This window comes from Homo sapiens, chromosome 13, assembly GCF_000001405.40.
Source record: "Homo sapiens chromosome 13, GRCh38.p14 Primary Assembly".
Taxonomy (NCBI): domain Eukaryota; kingdom Metazoa; phylum Chordata; class Mammalia; order Primates; family Hominidae; genus Homo; species Homo sapiens.
The window spans coordinates 72,839,133-72,858,920 of record NC_000013.11 but is presented as its reverse complement, the minus strand read 5'-3'; the positions used below and the strand labels follow the sequence as shown (position 1 = coordinate 72,858,920).

The following is a 19,788-nucleotide window of genomic DNA, read 5'->3' as shown; positions in this document are numbered from 1 at the left end:
ATATGTTCCTTAATAGTTGCAAGAATCTACTACCTTCTTCCCTTTTATGAAAACAAGATGGTATTTGTTGACTCCCTTTATTCACTCCCATTGTTCACCAGGAGTATTAAAAACATAATTTCTGAAGTTTCTCAGTAACTATGATTTGAAACTTGTATATAAGTATTCTTAATAACCACTCTTTGTTTAAATTTAATTAAAAACACACAAAAAAGAAAAAAACACATTGTAAGTTTCAATATGTATGAGGTACAAAAGAGGGTACATATTTATGAGGTACAAAATCTCTATCTGTCCACCAACCATGCAACACCTAATTTCCTTCTCCAGAAGCAATAAATGTTAATAGATTTTTCCTGGTCCTGATATAAAGAGCCACTTACTTCCTTTTGTACAACTACATTGTTGTATTCTGTAAGAGTATTCATGAATTACAATTCTTTTAACTACTGCTTAAATGTCAACTATGCTACAGTAAATAAGGTGGTATATATAGCATTTTGAACCTAGCAAGTATACCTGCAGGATAACGTACTAGAAATAAAATTCCTTGATCAAGAGCAATGTATGGCTGGGCGTAGTGGCTCACGCCTGTAATCCCAGCACTTTGGGAGGCTGTGGCGGGCAGATTACTTGAGGTCACGAATTCGAGACCAGACTGGGCAACATGGCAAAACCCCATCTTTACTAAAAATACATAAATTAGCCGGGTGTGGTGGCACGTGCCTGTAATCCCAGCTACTCAGGGGGCTGAAGCACGAGAATCACTTGAACCCGGGAGGCAGAGGCTGCAGCGAGCAGAGATTGTGCCACTGCACTCCAGACTGGGCAACAGAGTGAGACTCCATCTCACATAATACATACACACACACACACACACACACACACACACACACAATGTACATTTGTACTTCTGATAGGTATTATCGAATTACTCTTCATATTAGTTGTACCAATTTAAACTCCCACTAATGTTAAGATTGCCTGTTTTTCCATACCCACGCAAACACAATGTATTATCAACCTTTTGGTTTTTAGTGGAAAACAGGCATAGTTTGTTTTTGTTTTTGTTTTTGTTTTGAGACAGAGTTTCACTCTTGTAGCCCAGGCTGGAGTGCAATGGTGCAATCTCGGCTCACTGCAACCTCTGCCTCCCAGGTTCAAGCGATTCTCCTGCCTCCACCTCCCAAGTAGCTGGGATTACAGGCACGTGCCACTATGCCAGGCTAATATTTTGCATTTTTAGTAGAGACAGGGTTTTGCCATATTGGCCAGGCTGGTTTTGAACTCCTGACCTCAGGTGATCCAACCAACTCGGCCTCCCAAAATGTTGGGATTACAGGCATGAGCCACCATGTCCAGCTGAAAATAGGTATAATTTTAATATGAATTTAATGTTGACTTATTGATTTGGAGAAGGGAAAATCAGTCACATGACTGTGACAGACGTTGCAAATATTTTTTCCAAGATTACATTTGCATTTGTTTTTTGACTTTCCTTATGGCAGTAATGCCACACCAACATTTTTCATTTGTAGGGAATCAAGTTTATCAATTTATTACTTCTATAACTCCTAAGTTGCAAAGGCCTTTTGTAATTCAAGATTATAAAAACATTCTCCTATGGCTTCTTAGGTTTTTAATGGTTTTACATTTAAATCTCTGATCCATATGAAATTTATCTTGGTGTAAGTTATGAGGTATGGATCTCAATTTTCTTTTCCCCTTAGCTGGCTACCCTAGTGACCTGTCACAATTCATTGTTCTTATTTAGAAATGCACTTACTTAATTTTTCCATATAAGCCACAGAACTTATTTGTCTGGTTTCAAAAAAATATTTTTGGTATTCTATTTGGCTTACATTAAATGCATAGTTTAACTTAAGGAAACTGACATTTTCATGAAAAATAAAATTAGTTCTCTATGTACACTACCCCAAAATTGAACTTCACATGAAGGCATAACGTAAAAACTGTAACTATAAAAATTTATATGGAAGAGTAAATGTACAAGAATGGGCATAATAATTGTGAAAAAGAATTTTTAGTGTTGGTTTGTCAAGTTTCAAAGTCATTTGAAAATTTTGACATGAACTGCACTGAATTTATATATTAATTAAGAAAGAATTAAACTGATGGTACATCTAGAATTCTACTTTTAAAAATGTCATTTATCAACATTACAGTCCTAACCAGGGATACTTTTCCCTTCATTTATTGATATTATATCTTAAAAAACAGATAAGTAACTTTAGCTATTTTAAGCATTTTGTTAAAGCCTAAGCTTATTTTGAGTTTTACATTCCCAGATATTATTCTCATTCATTCACTCATTTATTCATAAGTCTCTGGTTCTGTAATGTCCTTTACAGTCCTGAGCATTAGCTCTATTTGCTGCTCAAGGGTTATTTTTAGTGGTGTCTAGAAACACCTTTTTTTCCTTGTCTTGATTTTAAAACTATCACAAATATTTAAGGTTGGCTGAAAATTGGGCTCTGAATAAGCAAGGCTTTACTATGACTTCAAAGAATTATTAAAAATAAGCCTCCTCCTATCTGGCAGTTTGAAAATGAGGTTTTCCAGTTTATCTAAAATTTTAGTGAAAAATTCGTTGGAAAGATATCAACTTGTGAAGAACAAAATTCAGTTAGTAAAGTTTCACAACAACACTAAATTGGACAAATTATTCTATGATAATAGTAGTTATCATAGGAAGGCACTGTTCTAAGTGCTATACAAACATTAAATAATTGAATCCTCTATTGTTTAATAGATACTTTTAGGTATTAGAGTATCGCATGGCCTTCGGATGAACATCAGTTGCAAATGTACATACAAGTAGGATAAGAAGGATTTAGGTTAAGAGTGTAGCTTACGATAAATATAAATTGGTCAGTTTTATGATCAGATATATTATTCTCTCCAACTTTACAAAACCACACAGTAGCTATCAAGTGATGAATGTAAGTTCTGATTTACTAGGTAATATCTTACGTTTTCTTTTAAACCTTATTAGTTTGCCCATAAATCTTATTCTAGAGCCATCCCTAAAAATATACATCCCTAAAACTACACATTAAAAACTGACATCAACACAAAGTCAAATGAATCTTTAGGGGACATCATATAGTTTTGTAAGTGGAAGCGTTACACGTAATAAAATATAAAACAAACGCTTTATAGGAACTCTAATGAAAGGAGCTGATTTACATACCATGATCTTTTACACCATGATCTTTATTTTTTTTAGATAAACTAAAAAAATTTTTTTTGAGACAGAGTCTCACTCTGTCGCCCAGGCTGGAGTGCTGTGGCATGATCTCTGCTCACTGCAATCTCTGCCTCCTGGGTTCAAGTGACTCTCGTGCCTCAGCCTTCTGAGTAGCTGGGATCACAGGCATGCATCACCACACACTACTAATTTTTGCATTTTTAGTAGAGACGGGGTTTTACCATGTTGCCCAACCTGGTCTCAAACTCCTAGCCTCAAGTTATCCACCTGCCTCAGCCTTCCAGTGCCTAGCCCGATAGCATGATATTTAGAATAAGACATACTTCCACATTATAGGAATGACTTCTTCAATATAACATTTATTAAAATTCTTCCATAGGCCAAGTTTATAAAGTTGATGTGAATTCAGAAGTATGACAATTTGAGCCATTCTAAAAGATTTTTACAATAGGTTAATTATATGAAGACTTGCCTCAAATTTTAGTTTTATGTATTGCTTATACCTCAAATTAATCTGGTCTTCATTTAACAATTAAAAGACCCATTGAACTTAATTTCAAAAGTTTATTAGTATGTGAACGGTACGCAGAAATTTTACCATTTTAGCAACTTTTCTGAAATAATTTTAAAATGAAAAGTTAAAAAAATAAGGTAGCCACTGTTTACTCTCTATGCAGTCAAACAATTGAAAGTGTAGAATGTTTAATGAAGTAATGATATTTACCATAATGCCCATCAGTTATTTTCCTTTTAACAAGGCTATTAAAATAAATATCATTTTCTATTGGTAAATTAAAGATATATCATTCTCTCTGATATCCTCCTTCCAAAACACATACTTTAGAACATATAGATTTTGAAAAAAAAAAAACTAGGGAGTATACAATGGTAGAATCACTTTGGTGTTACCATTGGCAGGTTTTTTAAAAGTAAAACATTTATCTACCCAATGATGAACAATGCCACTCCTAGGTATTTAGCCAAGATAAATAAAAACACACACTTTCAAAAAATTATATGGCAGCTTTATTCACGATAGTAACAAACTGGAAACCACCAAAATGACCATTGACAGGTGAATAAAATATATTCATACTCAGCAACAACAAGGAATGAACTACTGATACAACAACAAAGTGGAATGAAAGAACCTGGACACAAGAGTATTTTTAGTCTAAGAGAAGCAAAACTAATCTATTGTGACAGAAATCAGAAAGTGGTGCCTCTTGAGTAGTAGCAGTTAAGAAGGACTGAAGGGCCATAAGGAAACTCTCTGGAGTAACTGAACTGTTCTATACCACATTTTCAATATCCACAATAATTGTATATTGTAAAAATAAAGCAATTGCAATGAAAATTATTGAAATGAAATTGAAATGAAATGAAAATTGAAATGAAAATTATTGAAATGAAAATTAGTCTCTCCTCAATTGAAATGAAAATTATTCTCTCCTTAAAATACATTTTCTAAAAGAATATGTAACAGAAACAATAATGGAAGAGTTTTAACATTTCTATTTTTATGATGCTTACCTGTCTAAGAGCTGATCGTGTTTTTCTAAAGCATCCTTTTCAGCCATCACTGCTCGTTCCTTTTCAGCCACAGCATTATCCCTTGCTTCTCGGAGATTTCTAAATTTTAAACATGGATTTCAGTTATTTCAAATGCGTGATTTATCTATGTTCTTTCTTAAAGATGGACTATCTGACAATCTTAAGGACCCATCTGAGAAGTTGGGGACCCAAAGTGTACACTATATAAACCTGCTTGGCTTGGTTGAGTATCTAAGAGCAGGATACACCAGTGTAGGTGCCAGTATGGTCTATCTCTATGTCACACCACCCTTCTCCGCATGGGTCAAAGGGTTGGCTAACCAGTTTGTATATATAGTAATTTATGTATTCCTTACGAGAATCCAATGAGATAGGTGTAATTATTCATATATTATCCACTAGAAAACTGAGGTTTGGGGAGGTTAATAAATGTCCCATAAAATATTTTAAGTGAAAGATATATTGTGGAGAATCAAAATAAAAGTGCGGTTTGGGATACGAGCAAGAGAATCATTGAAATGAAGAACCTTGAAGTCTCAGTTATATAGGAAGGAATGGGAAGGAAACACAGGTTGACAGACAGGAGAAAGTAGAAGGGACAAAGAATTAGAGGTCCTGATAAGATATGACAGATTAAGTCAAAGTGTAATAGTTGTACAAGCAAGATGGAAGACTGGAGAATGGTGATTTGGAGGTAGAACAGCACTTTTCAGTGGCAGAATTTTGGTGGCTAACAAGATCGGGTATGAAAATTAGTATGACTAAATTAAGTAGATCTGAGATGAAGGTCAATATTCATGTAGGGCTCAAAGAAGTATGAAGTTAGGGTACTGGAAAAGTCATCTACTTAACAGTTGTGAGGACAGTAGGAAGGAACTGAAATTGATAGAAAGAATACATTTAGTGTCAGTTAAGGGGAGCTGGAAGATAACAACAATGACTAACTGGGAGATTACACAACTAGCCATGAGCTTCCAAAGATCAAAACTTTTGCCTTTTAATCAAGATGAAACTTTGAATAAAAAAAAAATACCAACAGTAAGTTTCTTTCAGATAGTCACCTATTTTTTTTTTTAAATCTCCTTCTCTAGCAGTTACAACATAAATAAAAAGAATGTAATATAAATGATTTTGCTCACTTAATCCCTACAAAGCCCTTTATGTTATAACCTACTTTTTAGCTGAGTAAACTGAAGTTTAGAGAGCTCATATACCTAGCCTCAAGTCACACAGCCTAAGAGGACCATAAGTTGAATCCAGTTATTTCTTACTCCAAAGCCAGGGCTTTTTACATCATGCCACACTATCTCTCATGAAAAACTGGGTTGGAAATTATTATTTTTTATTATTCATACAGAATATGAGTAGGGAGTCATGAAAGCCATAAAGTTTGAATAAACCTATCTATTGAATATTGGATAGAAATGCTTAGTAGTCATATTTGCTGTACCAGTACTCAATCTAGTCTTTTGCATGGTGGTGCTGTCACAGGATCCTTGGGGCGTCACTTTGTCAGCTGGAAACCTTTGTGGCCAGTGGCGCCTTTGCCCGAGTTATGCTCAGGCCCACTGGGCTTGTTCCACCCACTCGGCCTCACAGGCTGTACTCGGCTCAAGCTATACTGGCCGGGATCTCACACCTGCTGAGGGCAAGCCAAGTGCAGAGCAGCAAGGGGTGTGTGAGCAAGGGGTGCGTGAGCAAGTCAGTGAGTACAGGGTTCAACCACTGCACACAGCAGGGCACACCGGCTGCCGTGGGGTAGGCGGCTCCAGGCTTCCTGTGAGGCTGCGACTGGACAGGCATACTGAAAGCAGCTTCCACTGCTGGCACCGGGGAATGCAGTGGTGTCCGGAAGCTTGGAGATGCCAGGAACTGCAGAGCCCCAAACAGGTGTCAGAGCCCTTGCTCAGGGAGCTCCTAGGTCTGGGCTCCCCAAAGGGCTGCAGCAATTCTCTCCTTGTTGCAATGTGGCGAGTGAGGGGCATGTTTCAGCTCTTTTTGTGTTACAGCTCTTTCAGTCCCACCATTAAGCAGGTCCCAAGTTCTCATCCTGTGTCCAGGAAGAATGAAGTACACAGACAACCGGAGCATGAATAAGACAAAGAGGTGCTTCCCTGAGCAGCAGTACAGCTCTCAAGAGATCTGGAATGGGTAGCTCCTAACTGCAGGCAGGCCATCCCACTGTCTGCTCAGCTCTTGGCTGAGAGGAGACCCACAGTGGGTAGATTCTCTCTGCAGGCAGGTTGTCTCTACATCTGCTCAGCTCTCAGCTGAGAGGAGACCCACAGTTGGTAGCTCCTCTCTGCAGGCAGATCGTCCAGAGGTCTGCCAGAGTCTGGGGTTTTTGTGGGCTTCAGTGGGGAGGAAGTATATGCTGATTGGTCCATAGGTGGCAATGGGTGGGCCAGAGGAAAAAAGTACTGTAAGTTCTCACTCCGTTCTGTGAAACTGGTGGCGCAGCTCCCATGCTCCAGGCTATCCCTGGCTTGAGGGTGGGGCTTCACCAGGGACCCACCCCTTTCCGCCCAGAAGCCAGCCTGCCTCCTGCCGCCATCAACCAGCTGTAACCTGGCGCCCAGCCTGGAGTGCCAAAGGGCACCTGCAGGCCTGCACCAAGACACCCTCATCCCCCACTTTGGCCAGCCTCCCTTCCGTGCTTGTCAGTGTCCAAAGTCCAGAGGAGGCCGAGGTGGCAGGGGGCTGGGGTGTCAGCAATGCCCCAAGAGCGGGCACACCTGCAACAGTGCCCAGGCTTGGCCTCAACTTTGCTCTGAAATCAGAGTGGGTGCTGGGAGTAGGGAGAGGTCAGGCAGCGGGAACAGGCATTTCTGAACCCGTGGGGGAAGGGGGCTCCCTAGGCCGAAGATAGTGAGGGAATGCCTGGGTCCGCAGCTGCGACTGGGCCACTGCAGCTGCGCCTGGGAGGGCTCCCGCCCCTCCAACTCGGAAGGGGTCTGGGTTTCTGCCTGTTTCCGGCTCCTGCTGGCTCAGTGGAGCATGCAGCCCTGGACGCGCCTCCCCCACTGCAGCTGGCATCTTTACAACAGCTGCTCCAGATGGGCCGCTGCTGCCATCAATATTAACAACAAATTTAAAATTTTAAAAATGTCAACCATTAGAGATTTGTCAGTAAAATAGTTGATAAGCCAGAAATAAAATAGTTTCTTCAGAAATGCTGGAGTATAGATAACTCTTATTGAAAAGAAAAGAAACTACTTTTGTGGGTTACTAAGTGGAAGTGCATTCTAAAGTAGCTATCAAAAAATGGCATATTATTATTTTCAGATGTCATCCTGATTGCAACAACCTTCAAAAATATTCTATTCTCAAACAAACTGAAACATAAAAAATTAATGTTATAGATAAAGTTCTCAAACTATATTAAACATTTATATATTTTTCATTTCGAAATGATGTAAATATTTTAGTCAGTAAATCACCACAAATTGGTTTCAATGTTCATTTCTCAAATACAGCTTCATTATTCTATATGTTATTTCGGCAGCACAATTACAAGTAGAGCACATTTACAGGACTAATGAATCACGAATGCTCAATTGGTAGATGGAGAAGCTTCAGTCCCTAATAACATTTCCTTTCTTGCAACAATGGACATGAGAAATGAAAACAAGACAAAGGGAATGAAATAAAACCTAGAACAAGCTAACATCAGGGCTTGTGAAAGGAGGTATGATTAGCGGGTACTATGTTAAGTACTATGTTAAGGCATAAACAAAATTCTATGGCCACAAAGAGAAGGAGTTGATTATTCTTTACTGGAGTAAGAGAGGTAGGTGAATAAAGTGAAACATTTTTTAAAAGTGACATGTAAGTTGGGTCTTGAAGGACAAATAGGTAAAGCAATTCAGAAAGAGAAAACAGAAATGAACTGGGGAATGGACCAGAAGAAGCTAAGGCTTCTACCAAGAGGTCCTCTCACAGGTGTTTGTGGGTAACATTTCTGTGTAAACCCAATCTCCTTATCAAGTACCACACCTTCCATATCCAGTCCACAACCTGCATTCTTTAGCAAAACGCAGCATAATTCCTTATAAGAAATAGATACTTTATTTAATATTACCAATTCACAGGTTTCATATGAAGTCTGAGAGAGAAAAACTCAATGTATTCTTCTACTGACAATAAATAGCAATAGCATACTGTTTACCATGTGCCAGAAGCCGTCCTAAGCACTTTACATATCACAACTCATTTAATTGTCACAACAATCCCACAAAGCAGTTGTATCATTACCTCCATTTTACAAATGATAAGACTAAAACACAAAGAGGTTAAGTATTAGCTTAAAGTCACACAGGAAGTATGCTACAGAGTCCAAATGTGCACCCAAACAATTTGGCTCCAGAGTCTGTGCTGTGAATCATACTATGCTGCCTCTTAAAATTTCCTTTGCTTCACAGATGTTTTCTCCTTGAGAAATTCTGACATTATGAGATTTATATTACATGACCACCTCAAGGCACCAATAGATGGGAAATCAAAATAAGCCTTGAAAGAATTGTGAATATACTATACATTAGCTTTTATGGCCCACAGTATATAACATGCTCTTTCAAAAATAAACTGTTTGATAAAATGCTAGATGTATTCCTTCCACAGATAAGACAATAACTTTCATATAATAAGTAATCCATTTCAAATGTTAAATGCATTAGAAAATATAACAGAAATACAATTACAAAACAAATTACAGGAATTCAAATGTTCTTCAAAAGAGAAACTTCAAAAATTGATAGAAGCTATCCGTAGCATGTACAAGCTAACGAAGCTCAAGTTTTAGAAGTCCAAACCAAGCGTATAATCAAATGTAATTATAACAAAGAAAGATAAGTGTTTTAAAATACAAAAATCTGAATATGTCATCCTTAAAATACTTGTATAAAGTTAACGTTAGATTCCAACACTGTGTTTTTCATGATTCTTTCATGTTGTTTCCTAGCAATTCTATGTATCTCCCATATACACATATGTATTTTTCCCATTCACCCTATGTTGTGGGATGGAGACATACTGAGAGGAAAGATTGAAGAAAATAAATCTTAAATAAATACTATGTGAAATGCAAAGGGTAAGTGAGTATCCTACTTTTATAACTAGAGTATTCAAATAATGTATTTTTCAACCTGGTGCACTTTTTAGAATAAAAGAGGGTGCTATTAAAAATTATGCCAAAGAAACACACACAAACCACTACTTTCTTAGACAAACCAAGAGGTATGGTTACTTAAATTATAACATTCAAATGAGAAACTTAAAGAGTTAAGTTCTTTTTTTTTTTTTTTGAGACGGAGTCTCACTCTGTCACCCAAGCTGGAGTGCAGTGGCGCGATCTCAGCTCACTGCAAGCTCCGCTTCCCGGGTTCATGCCATTCTCCTGGCTCAGCCTCCTGAGTAGCTGGGACTACAGGCACCCGCCACCATGCCGGCTAATTTTTTGTATTTTTAGTAGAGACGGGGTTTCACTGTGGTCTCGATCTCCTGACCTCGTGATCCGCCCGCCTCGGCCTCCCAAAGTGCTGGGACTACAGGCGTGAGCCACCGCGCCCGGCCAAGAGTTAAGTTCTTAATCATTTACTTAAATAAAAGGGTTTTAATATTATAACAAAATAGACATAATTCATATGCAATATAGTGCCATTTGTGCAGCAGATAATTTAATACACAGAAGTTTATTCAACAGTAGCTCACAACTGAAACTTGAAAACCTCATTATAAAACATTCGTAACAATAGACTAACGTACAGGGTAGAATGTATTTGCCTACTACTAGATGATAAATTTCACAGTACCAATAGGCTGAATCTACATTTATATCTGAAAAGTGGTAAGAAAAATGTCAGAAGAATGAGAAAAACTTTAGGACCCTTCGAAATTCAAACAGTATCAAATCAGAGTTTGGCAATGCAAGGAATACGTCTGAGCCTGAATAAACATCCCTAATGCCTCAGAACTTAAAATTTACCAAGCATAAATAGTGAAAAAACAAAAACAAAAACAAACAAAAATAACCATGGCTATCAGAAGAGCTCAGCAGGCGCAACTAAGCAATCCAAACTCTTCCCTCTGTCTTCATGTAAAAATATTTTTGGCTAATAGAAGTAAATATATTTTTCTAGTTAGAACAACAAAGGATTAAAATAGGCTGTTTTATATGACAGGCTTATTTATAGGAAAAGTGTTTGAATTTATCATCTCTACCTCCAGCGTCTTCCTGGACACAACATAAAACTGCTCATTTCCATATCTGATGCCTTTGTTTTTAAGATGGCATAAAATAGAAGGGTTGCATGTAGATTATCTTGTTTCTATTCAATGACTGTAGTTTTACCTTTATCATAGATGACTGAAAAGTTAATGAGCAGGACATAAAAACGAAATAAGCAAAGTGGAAATCTTATTTAATAAATTTCTTGGGAGAAGCTATACATTTTAAGAGTAGAAACTTTTTGAGATCATTGTTGACTGAAAATGCTACACTTTCCTAACCTTTTATTATAGTTGGTGCCTTGGTTTAAAAGTTTTTGTCCTCCAAAACTCATGTTGAAATTTAACTTCCATTCTAACAGTATTAAGAAGTGGGACCTGATAATGGTGATTAGGCCATGAGAGTGGGAATGGTGCCATTATAAAAGGGTGAGTTTGGCTCCCCCTTGCTCTGTCTCCTACCTTCTTGCCTTATGCCATATGATAATGTAGTGAGAAGGCTCTTGCCAGATGCCAGTACGTAGATATTGGACTTCCCAGCCTCCAGACCTGTGAGCCAATAAACTTCTGTTCATTATAAATTATCCAGTCTCAGGTATCCTGTTATAGCAGCATAAAATGGACTGAAGACAATTGGTGCTCAAGCAGATTTTTGTTTGTTTCTAGATATGAAAACTTAAGCACAAAGTAGATAAACATTGAACCCAAATTATGGTTGAAAAATTATAAAAAATTGAAGTACCAAAATGCAAAATATTTGCTTAAATCCATTAATGTGTTAAGATTTACAAAGTAGCTGACAGGATAAAAGGTAACATATCAAAATGAAACAGAATGAATCTGGTAGATGGTTAACTGAGTAACTACTATATATCTTCAAACGACACTCAGTCCTGATCAAATCCATTATAAACCTTTGAGTAGGTTTTCATCTAAACCAACAGCCACCTAATTTCTAAAAAGTAGTACCAATTCATTCTTTCATTCAATAAATATTACGTATATTGAGTGTTTACTGCGTACCAGGCACTGGTACCTGGGAGTCCAGGACTGAACGATACATGAAAACTCCTACTCTCATGGAGATCACATTCTAGTAGGAAAAAAACCCAAAGTAAATAAATATGTAGTATGTTGATAGATTAAAAACAAAGACAACATAGAACAAAGTCAGAAAAGACCACAAGAACAGGTGTATCATCAGGAGTAGATGGTTATGCAGTGGAAACTGAATACAAAGGACCTGAGGTAGGAGCACACCTACAGGTAAAAGAACAGGAGGCCAGCATAACTATGCGAGTGACCAGAAGAAAATCCTAAATGAGGATAGGATAACTGAATACTGATCAGGTAGGATCACAGGCCACTGTAATCATTTAAAGTTTTACTAAGTTTAATGATGGGGAGCCTTTTTATTTGAGTAGAGGAGTGATCCAACTTAACATTTAACAAGAACTGTGCTAAGAGACTGGAGAGGGCGAGGAAGAAAGCTGGGGACCACTTAAGAGGCTACTGCAGTAATTTTTAGGCAAGAGATAATGGTGACTTGAAGCAAGGTAATATACGTGAGATAGAGATCATAAATCCAAAAGGATTTGCTAATGAATAGAATATGGAATGTGAAAAAAGATGACTTCAGGTTTTTGGTCTGGGCAAGTGGAAGAATAGAGTTGTCTTTAATCGAACTGGGTAAGACTGAAGGTGGAGCAGAATTGGGAGGTAGAATGGAACAGAAATTTGCTTCTGAACACATTAGGATAAATATTATTAATAGATAACCAAGTGGAAATGCCATGGAGGCAGCTGCAAAAGTTGTCAAGAAGATGAGGAGGAACCAACAAAGAGAATGAGTAGGTGCAGCTAATGAGGAAGAGAAAAATTTAATAGTGTGTGACACTATGGAAGCTAAAGATTGTGTTCCCAGGAGTAGGGAGTGATCAACTGTGTTACATACTGCTAGTAAGGTGAAGCATGGTAAGAACTGAGAAAATGACTACTGGATTTGGGCAACATGAAGGTCTTAGGGGCTTTGGTATAAAAACATCTTTGTTGGAGTAGTATGGGGGTGCCAAAGGCTTGATAGTGGATATGAACACACACTTCTCAAAAGAAGACATTTATGTGGCCAAGAAACATGAAAAAAAGCTCATCATCACTGATAATTAGAGAAATGCAAATCAAAACCACAATGATACCATCTCATGCCAGTCAAAATGGCAATTATTAAAAGCCAAGAAACAACAGATGCTGGTGAGAAGCAGGAATGCTTCTACACTGTTAGTGGGAGTGTAAATTACTTCAACAGTTGTGGAAGACAGTGTAGCGATTCCTCAAGGATCTACAAGAAGAAATAACATTTGACCCAGCAATCCCATTACTAGGTATATACCAAAAGGACTATAAATCACTCTACTATAAAAGGAATATAAATCACTCTACTATAAAAAGACACATGGACACATATATTTATTGCAGCACTATTTATAGTAGCAAAGGCATGGAACCAACCCAAATGCCCATCAATGATAGACTGGATAAAGAAAATGTGGTACATATACACCATGGAATACTACACAGCCATAAAAAGGAATGAGATCATGTCCTTTGCAGGGACATGGATACGAAGCTAGAAACCATCATCCTCAGCAAACACAGGAACAGAAAACCAAACACCACATATTCTCACTCATAAGTGGGAGCTGAACAATGAGAACACACGGAAACAGGGAGGGGAACAACACACACTGGAGCCAACTTGGGGGTGGGGGGCAAGGGGAGGGAGAGCATTAGGACAAACAGCTAATGCATGTGGGGCTTAAAACCTAGATGGACCCGTTGATAGGTGCAGCAAACCACCATGGCACATGTATACCTATGCAACAAACCTACATGTTCTGCATTTGTATCATAGAACTTAAAATAAAATAAAATAAAATAAAAAAGAAAAGAAAAAGTCCTCTTTGCTAACTTCAAAAATTATAAATGCTTGTCTGGGAATGGTGGCTCACACCTGTAATCCTAGCACTTTGGGAGGCTGAGGTCGGCGGGGAGGATCACTTGAGCTCAGGAGTTCAAGACCCAGCCTGGGCAAAACAGTAAGACTTCATCCGTGTGTGTGTGTGTGTGTGTGTGTGTGTGTGTGTGTGTGTGTGTGTGTGTGTGTGTGTGTGTGTGTGTGTGTAAATAAAATTACAGATGCTTTTATAAAGCTCTAATGATCCATACTCAGCCCTCAAGCATGGAATGTCGTTTGCAAATTCTCTTAAAAGACAGAGTTTCTCCATCATTCTCAGCAAACTAACACAGGAACAGAAAACCGAAACACTGAATGTTCTCACTCATAAGTGGGAGTTGAACAATGAGAACACATGGAAACAGGGAGGGAAACATCATACACTGGGGCCTGTTGGGGTGAAGGGCTAGGGGACGGAGAGCATTAGGAGAAATACCTAATGTAGATGACGGGTTGATGGGTGCAGCAAACCACCATGGCATGTGTATACCTATGTAACAAACCTGCACGTTCTGCACATGTATCCCAGAACCTAAAGTATAATAATAAAAAAAGACAGAATTTCTATTTTAAGTAAATTAACTTCAAAATTGTAGTTTTGATAGGAAATCTTTGATCAGTTTACATAGCACTGACCAGTTAAATGGGAGTGTGCACTGCATTGCAGAGTCAGATGTATCTAGTTTTTACCAACAAATGTTTATAATAATCACAGGCAAGTCACAGTTGATGTCTCAATTACCTTACTTGTAAAATACGGTTATTAATACCTAAACTTCATAAAATGTGTTTCTTTTTCTACAACGTATGTAAAGTGTTGAGTACAATGCTTGACGCATAATAGGTACTCAATAAATAGTAACTATGCTTACTATGCTACCTAAATATGAAAATGTAAATTAAAACGTGATGTTAATTTAAAGGTTGATAATTACAGCAATGTTTCCTCAAAGTTTTTATTGTATAAAATGAAAGTGATACTATTTTTAATGGCATCCTAGGGAAAACAGAGAAGACTGTTGGAGGGGCTTTAGCAGCTTAGGGTTCCTTCTACTAATCTGAGGGCTAAGTGGAGTGAAATCTGGGGCACAGCAGAGAAACATCTCTAGTAAAAAGCTGTGTGATCTCAGATAAGCACTTTTGAGCTTGGTCAGGGCTGCCACATCTGTAAAAGATCAGAAATTAGGCCAGGCGCGGTGGCTCATGCCTGTAACCCCAGCACTTTGGGAGGCCGAGGTGGGTAGATCACCTGAGGTCAGGAGTTCCAGACCAGCCTGACCAACATGGCGAAACCCCGTCTCTACTAAAAGTACAAAAATTAGCTGGGCATAGTGGCACATGCCTATAATCCCAGCTACCTGGGAGGCTGAGGCAGGATAATCACTTAAACCCGGGAGGCAGAGGTTGCAGTGAGCCAAGACTGTGCCACTGCACTCCAGCCTGGACGACAAGAGCAAAACTCTGTCTCAAAAAGTCTGCATTCTGGAGCTAATGGCCATGCCTTATCACCAATCACTCTGACACTACTGAGGTAGAAAAGTTGGGGTCGTTCCTGAGGTTCACTTCCTGTCAATCACCAGATCTTGCCAATTCTCCTACGTATTCTTTAAATTCATCCATCATTTTCTCTTTCTACTTATTTTCATCACCTAAGCTGTGCAACAGCCTCCTACGTGATCTCCCTGCTTCTAGGCTTTCTTCAACTATAATCCACCCCGCATTGCAACCGTAGTTATAAAAAATGAGTAAGTCATGTTTCTTTCCTACTATAAAACCTCTGGAAATTCCCCACTGACAACAGAACCTTTAAAATCTGGCCCAATCTTACTTTACCAGCCTCTCCTAACACACAACGAATTACACCACAAAGGTATATCTAAATTCCTATGCAACCTGAACTTACCTTGCTTCATATCTGGAACACCCTACAGAGCTTGAAATTTTTAAGTATTATTAATGAAGCAGTGAACACACGTTGTAAACATCTAAGGAGTAAAGAATATAGTTAACAATAAAAGATAACTGATAATAAAAATTAATTTAAAATATTTGAGAAGATGCTGAGAGAGTTATCTGCAGAGCCATATACTTCAAGAATTATCTAACTGAAAAGACAAAGTAATTACTATTAAATTTTTCCATGGAAGAACTTAAAACATTATACAGATACCTGGTAAGATATGAACAAAAGAAGTTTGTTTGTTTGCTTAAGCACTAATGAGGACATACACTTTTAAAATGATGACTGGAACCTCTGTACACTAGTTAAATTCACCATTGTAATACAATACATATACTCAACTAACCTTTGTAAATAGATTCAAGATTCAAAGTTGTTTAATATCACTCTAAGATTCTACATAAATTTCAAGTTTATATCATTAAAGTTTCTTCTTGAGTACTTTTGGAAGATAAATTGTGGTCAAGATGGTTTTTATTGATTCGGCAGGAAAATAAAATCACTAAAGCAATACTAATTGTTGCACTTAAAAGCATCTTTTCAATCTCTTTTTCTCTACTGCCTACCCCCTTTCAAACAATTGTAAAGCTATTTCAATTTCCAGATTCTGTACTGCATCAAGAGCATCATGAATACCTCTATTATCTTTTGTAGAGCACCACTCAGAATAGCTCTGTGTTTACAGTTAACAAGACCACCTTAAATAAAGGTAGTTTTACTTTATGGAAAAACTTAATCAGCTGAATTTATCTCCCTTTACCTTATTATCTCATAACCTAATTAGGAAACATAAGCTAGCCATCTTATGCAGAAATTTAGACAGAAAAGAATGGCATGTAGACCCTCTACGTCTGTATTACGTCATTTAAGAAAACTGGTTAAATGCTATGGAGATAAACACTTAAGAATATATATTTTGTATTAGTATCTTCTAATGATAAATAATCCCATAATATTATCAGATGACTTTTATATAATGGTGATTTTCCTTAAACTGTCAACATAACAGATGAAAATATTTTCTTCAAGTATTCTACATAGGCACAAGGTACCAAAATAACTCATCTACATCTATAATTTATAATGTACTTTTTGCATATATTATTTCATTTAGACCTCACGGGCCACCCTAAAAAGTATTATTAGTTAGTTATTATTATTTTTTGAGACAGGGTCTCACTCCATTTGCCCAGGGTGGAGTGCAAATGGCATGATCTTGGCTCAGTGCAGCCTTGACCTCCCAGGCTCAGGTGATCCTCCCACCTCAGCCTCCTTAATAGGACTACAGGCCTGTGCCACCACGCCTGGCTAATTTTTTTTGTATTTTCACTAGAGACGGGGTTCTGCCATGTTGCCCAGGCTGGTCTCGAACTCCTAGACTTAAGCAATCCATCTGCCTCAGTCTCCCAAAGTGTTGGTATTACAGGTGTTAGCCACCACACCTAGCCTATTAGCCCATTTTATAAAAGAAGAAATTAAACTTCAGGGATATTAAGTGACTTATCTGCTGAGCTAGTAAGTGGTAGAACCAGGATCAAGTTCAGTCTTTTGATCCAAATCTCTTTCATAATATACTCCCACTCACAGAATGTCTTATTTCCAAATGCATAAGAGGGTCCATAACATTTCTGTCACATAATACCTACTAAGCAAGAAGTTATTTATATAATACATCTCAGCACTGTAGTACCTTTCACTCATTTCCTACAGCTCCAAAGTGGAATTTTAAGTAACTAGAAAATACAGAAAAGACAAAAAAGCTTAATTCACAAACTGGACCAAAGCATACATACATATTATAATTTCAACTACAGTATGTTTGATGTATCTAAATATCCAAGTTCTCTCTTCATTTATAATTGCCCTTTTCTTAAGTCTTTATATCTTCTACTCTCTTTCTTTTCTCTCAATACTTTAACTTCAAGAACTAGTGGAATGACTGCAGGTCAGATACCAAGATTGGACAGAGTAAGTTCCATGTGCCTTTTCCATATTAAAGAAGAGAAAAGAAAAAGTATCCTTTTAATATCCTCCAATGTATAGACAACAAATTAAAGGCAAAATATATTTCATTAATCATCATTTCAGTTTCTTTAGAAAATGTTTATTGGGGCCGGGCATGGTGGCTCACGCCTGTAATCCCAGCACTTTGGGAGGCCGAGGCAGGCAGACTACCTGAGGTCAGGAGTTTGAGAACAGCCTGGCCAACAGATGGTGAAACCCCATCCGTACTAAAAATATGAAAATTAGCCGGGCGTGGTGGCGCGAACCTGTAATCCCAGCTACTCAGAAGGCTGAGACAGGAGAATCGCTTGGACTCGGGAGGTGGAGGTTGCAGTGAGCTGAGATCACGCCACTGCACTCCAGTCTGGGTGACAGAGCAAGACTCCGTCAAAAAAAAAAAAAAAAAAAGTTTATTGGGGGAGAGATAAGGAGACCAAATATAAATATGCAAGTGTAAGTACTTCATCCATTTCAACTTATTGTAACAGCACACTTTGATAAAATACTAGTAATTAACATAATTACACATCTCAGGCCAAAGCAAAAGATTAATTTACCTAAACACACACACACAACCTTAAATGTGTAAACTTATTATGAATTTCATGTTTTATAACAGGAAATATTAAAATTCTTTCTTTAGCCATTTTAAGTTCTAAGATTTCAAAAGAAGTAATTTATAATTTACTTTTTACTGTGTGGAAGATTAGTATGATACAAGCTCTAACTACAGTTAAATCTGCCATAATGAAGAAACTATGATCCCCAAAGATTACATAAAACATAGAGTTGGATTACTGTGAGATTAAAATGATAAAGGCAAGCCTGTACACCTAGCTAGTTAGGTGTCCTGTGAAATTCAAATTCATCTGGGCTCAGGCTGCAATTTGGCACCACCTGGTGGCAATTGTCCACTCTAGCCTCAGTATACATCCAATCAATTCTGAGCCCTGTGGCTGGCTGGGGCATCCACAGGGCAGCCCCAATCCCAGGAATCCCCTGGTTAGGTAGTGTCCATTTTGATGTGGATAGGGGGTCAGAAGAACACTGGAGACAAGGAGACAAGGACATCTGCTTTCAGTTTTCCTACTTCCAGAAACGGCTCTGTTGGTTGTTTCCCCACACAGCCTTACCTACCAACCTACCCCTACCAACCACATTTATGTTACAATGGGATAAACTTTAAAGATTTTTTTTTAAAAAACAGCAAAAACCTAAAAAATGAGGAAATTTTCAAGATGATTACATACCAAAGTTTATATGGCTATGTGGATTGCTTAGGAATAACCATAGGAAGTTCCCATATATTTTAAAGTTATTATATCAGTCAACAAAAGCCTATTAAATCCACAACAGAATTGAACCACAGAACCAACAGTACTTATTTGTAAAATAGTAATAATACTATCTATACCACAGGCCTCTCTAATTCCCAGATCTTTCTCTTGAGGTTCAGATTCTTCTACAGTCAACTCTTTTATTTGTAGATGCCACAGACACTTCAAGTGAAACAACTAAATTTATCATGTTTTCCTATTAAAGCTTTGTATTTTCTAATGTTTTAAAAACTATATCACTATTTATGCAGCTGTTTAATTCAGAAACCTTGCTGACATCCTTAACGAGTTCTCATCCAACCAATCCAATCTAGTCACTGAGTCCTGTCGGCTCTGTCTCCTAAATACTTTTCCAACCTGGCCCATTTCTCTCATCTTTACTGATACTAATCCAGTTCCATTATCACCTCTCATCTGGATAATGGAAATAACCTCTAAAAGTAGACCCTCTCTGTCTAACAGG

General features: G+C 37.8%; 1 protein-coding gene across 16 annotated transcripts in view, besides 2 other annotated features; it reads right to left on the bottom strand.

Moving 5' to 3' along the window:
• Positions 1-19,788, bottom strand: part of PIBF1 (progesterone immunomodulatory binding factor 1) — a 234,329-nt gene that overhangs the window by 157,541 nt on the left and 57,000 nt on the right. For 8 of the 16 annotated variants that reach the window (NM_001349655.2, XM_011534882.4, XM_011534885.4 and 5 more), the window contains 2 exons: positions 11,474-11,560; positions 4,766-4,864 (listed from right to left, as the gene is read on the bottom strand). In NM_001349655.2, the coding sequence (NP_001336584.1) occupies positions 4,766-4,864; positions 11,474-11,560 (186 nt within the window). The remainder of the gene's footprint in view (positions 1-4,765; positions 4,865-11,473; positions 11,561-19,788) is intronic. The other 8 variants (NR_146205.2, NR_146206.2, NM_006346.4 and 5 more) reach the window with 1 other exon arrangement.
• Positions 5,981-6,510: an enhancer, noted in NCBI's record as "H3K4me1 hESC enhancer chr13:73426549-73427078 (GRCh37/hg19 assembly coordinates)". NCBI's record gives its function as "activates a minimal SCP1, AML or CMV promoter by ChIP-STARR-seq in primed H9 embryonic stem cells {active_cell/tissue: H9 hESC(primed)}" and the evidence as "EXISTENCE:reporter gene assay evidence [ECO:0000049][PMID:30033119]".
• Positions 6,511-7,042: an enhancer, noted in NCBI's record as "H3K27ac-H3K4me1 hESC enhancer chr13:73426017-73426548 (GRCh37/hg19 assembly coordinates)". NCBI's record gives its function as "activates a minimal SCP1, AML or CMV promoter by ChIP-STARR-seq in primed H9 embryonic stem cells {active_cell/tissue: H9 hESC(primed)}" and the evidence as "EXISTENCE:reporter gene assay evidence [ECO:0000049][PMID:30033119]".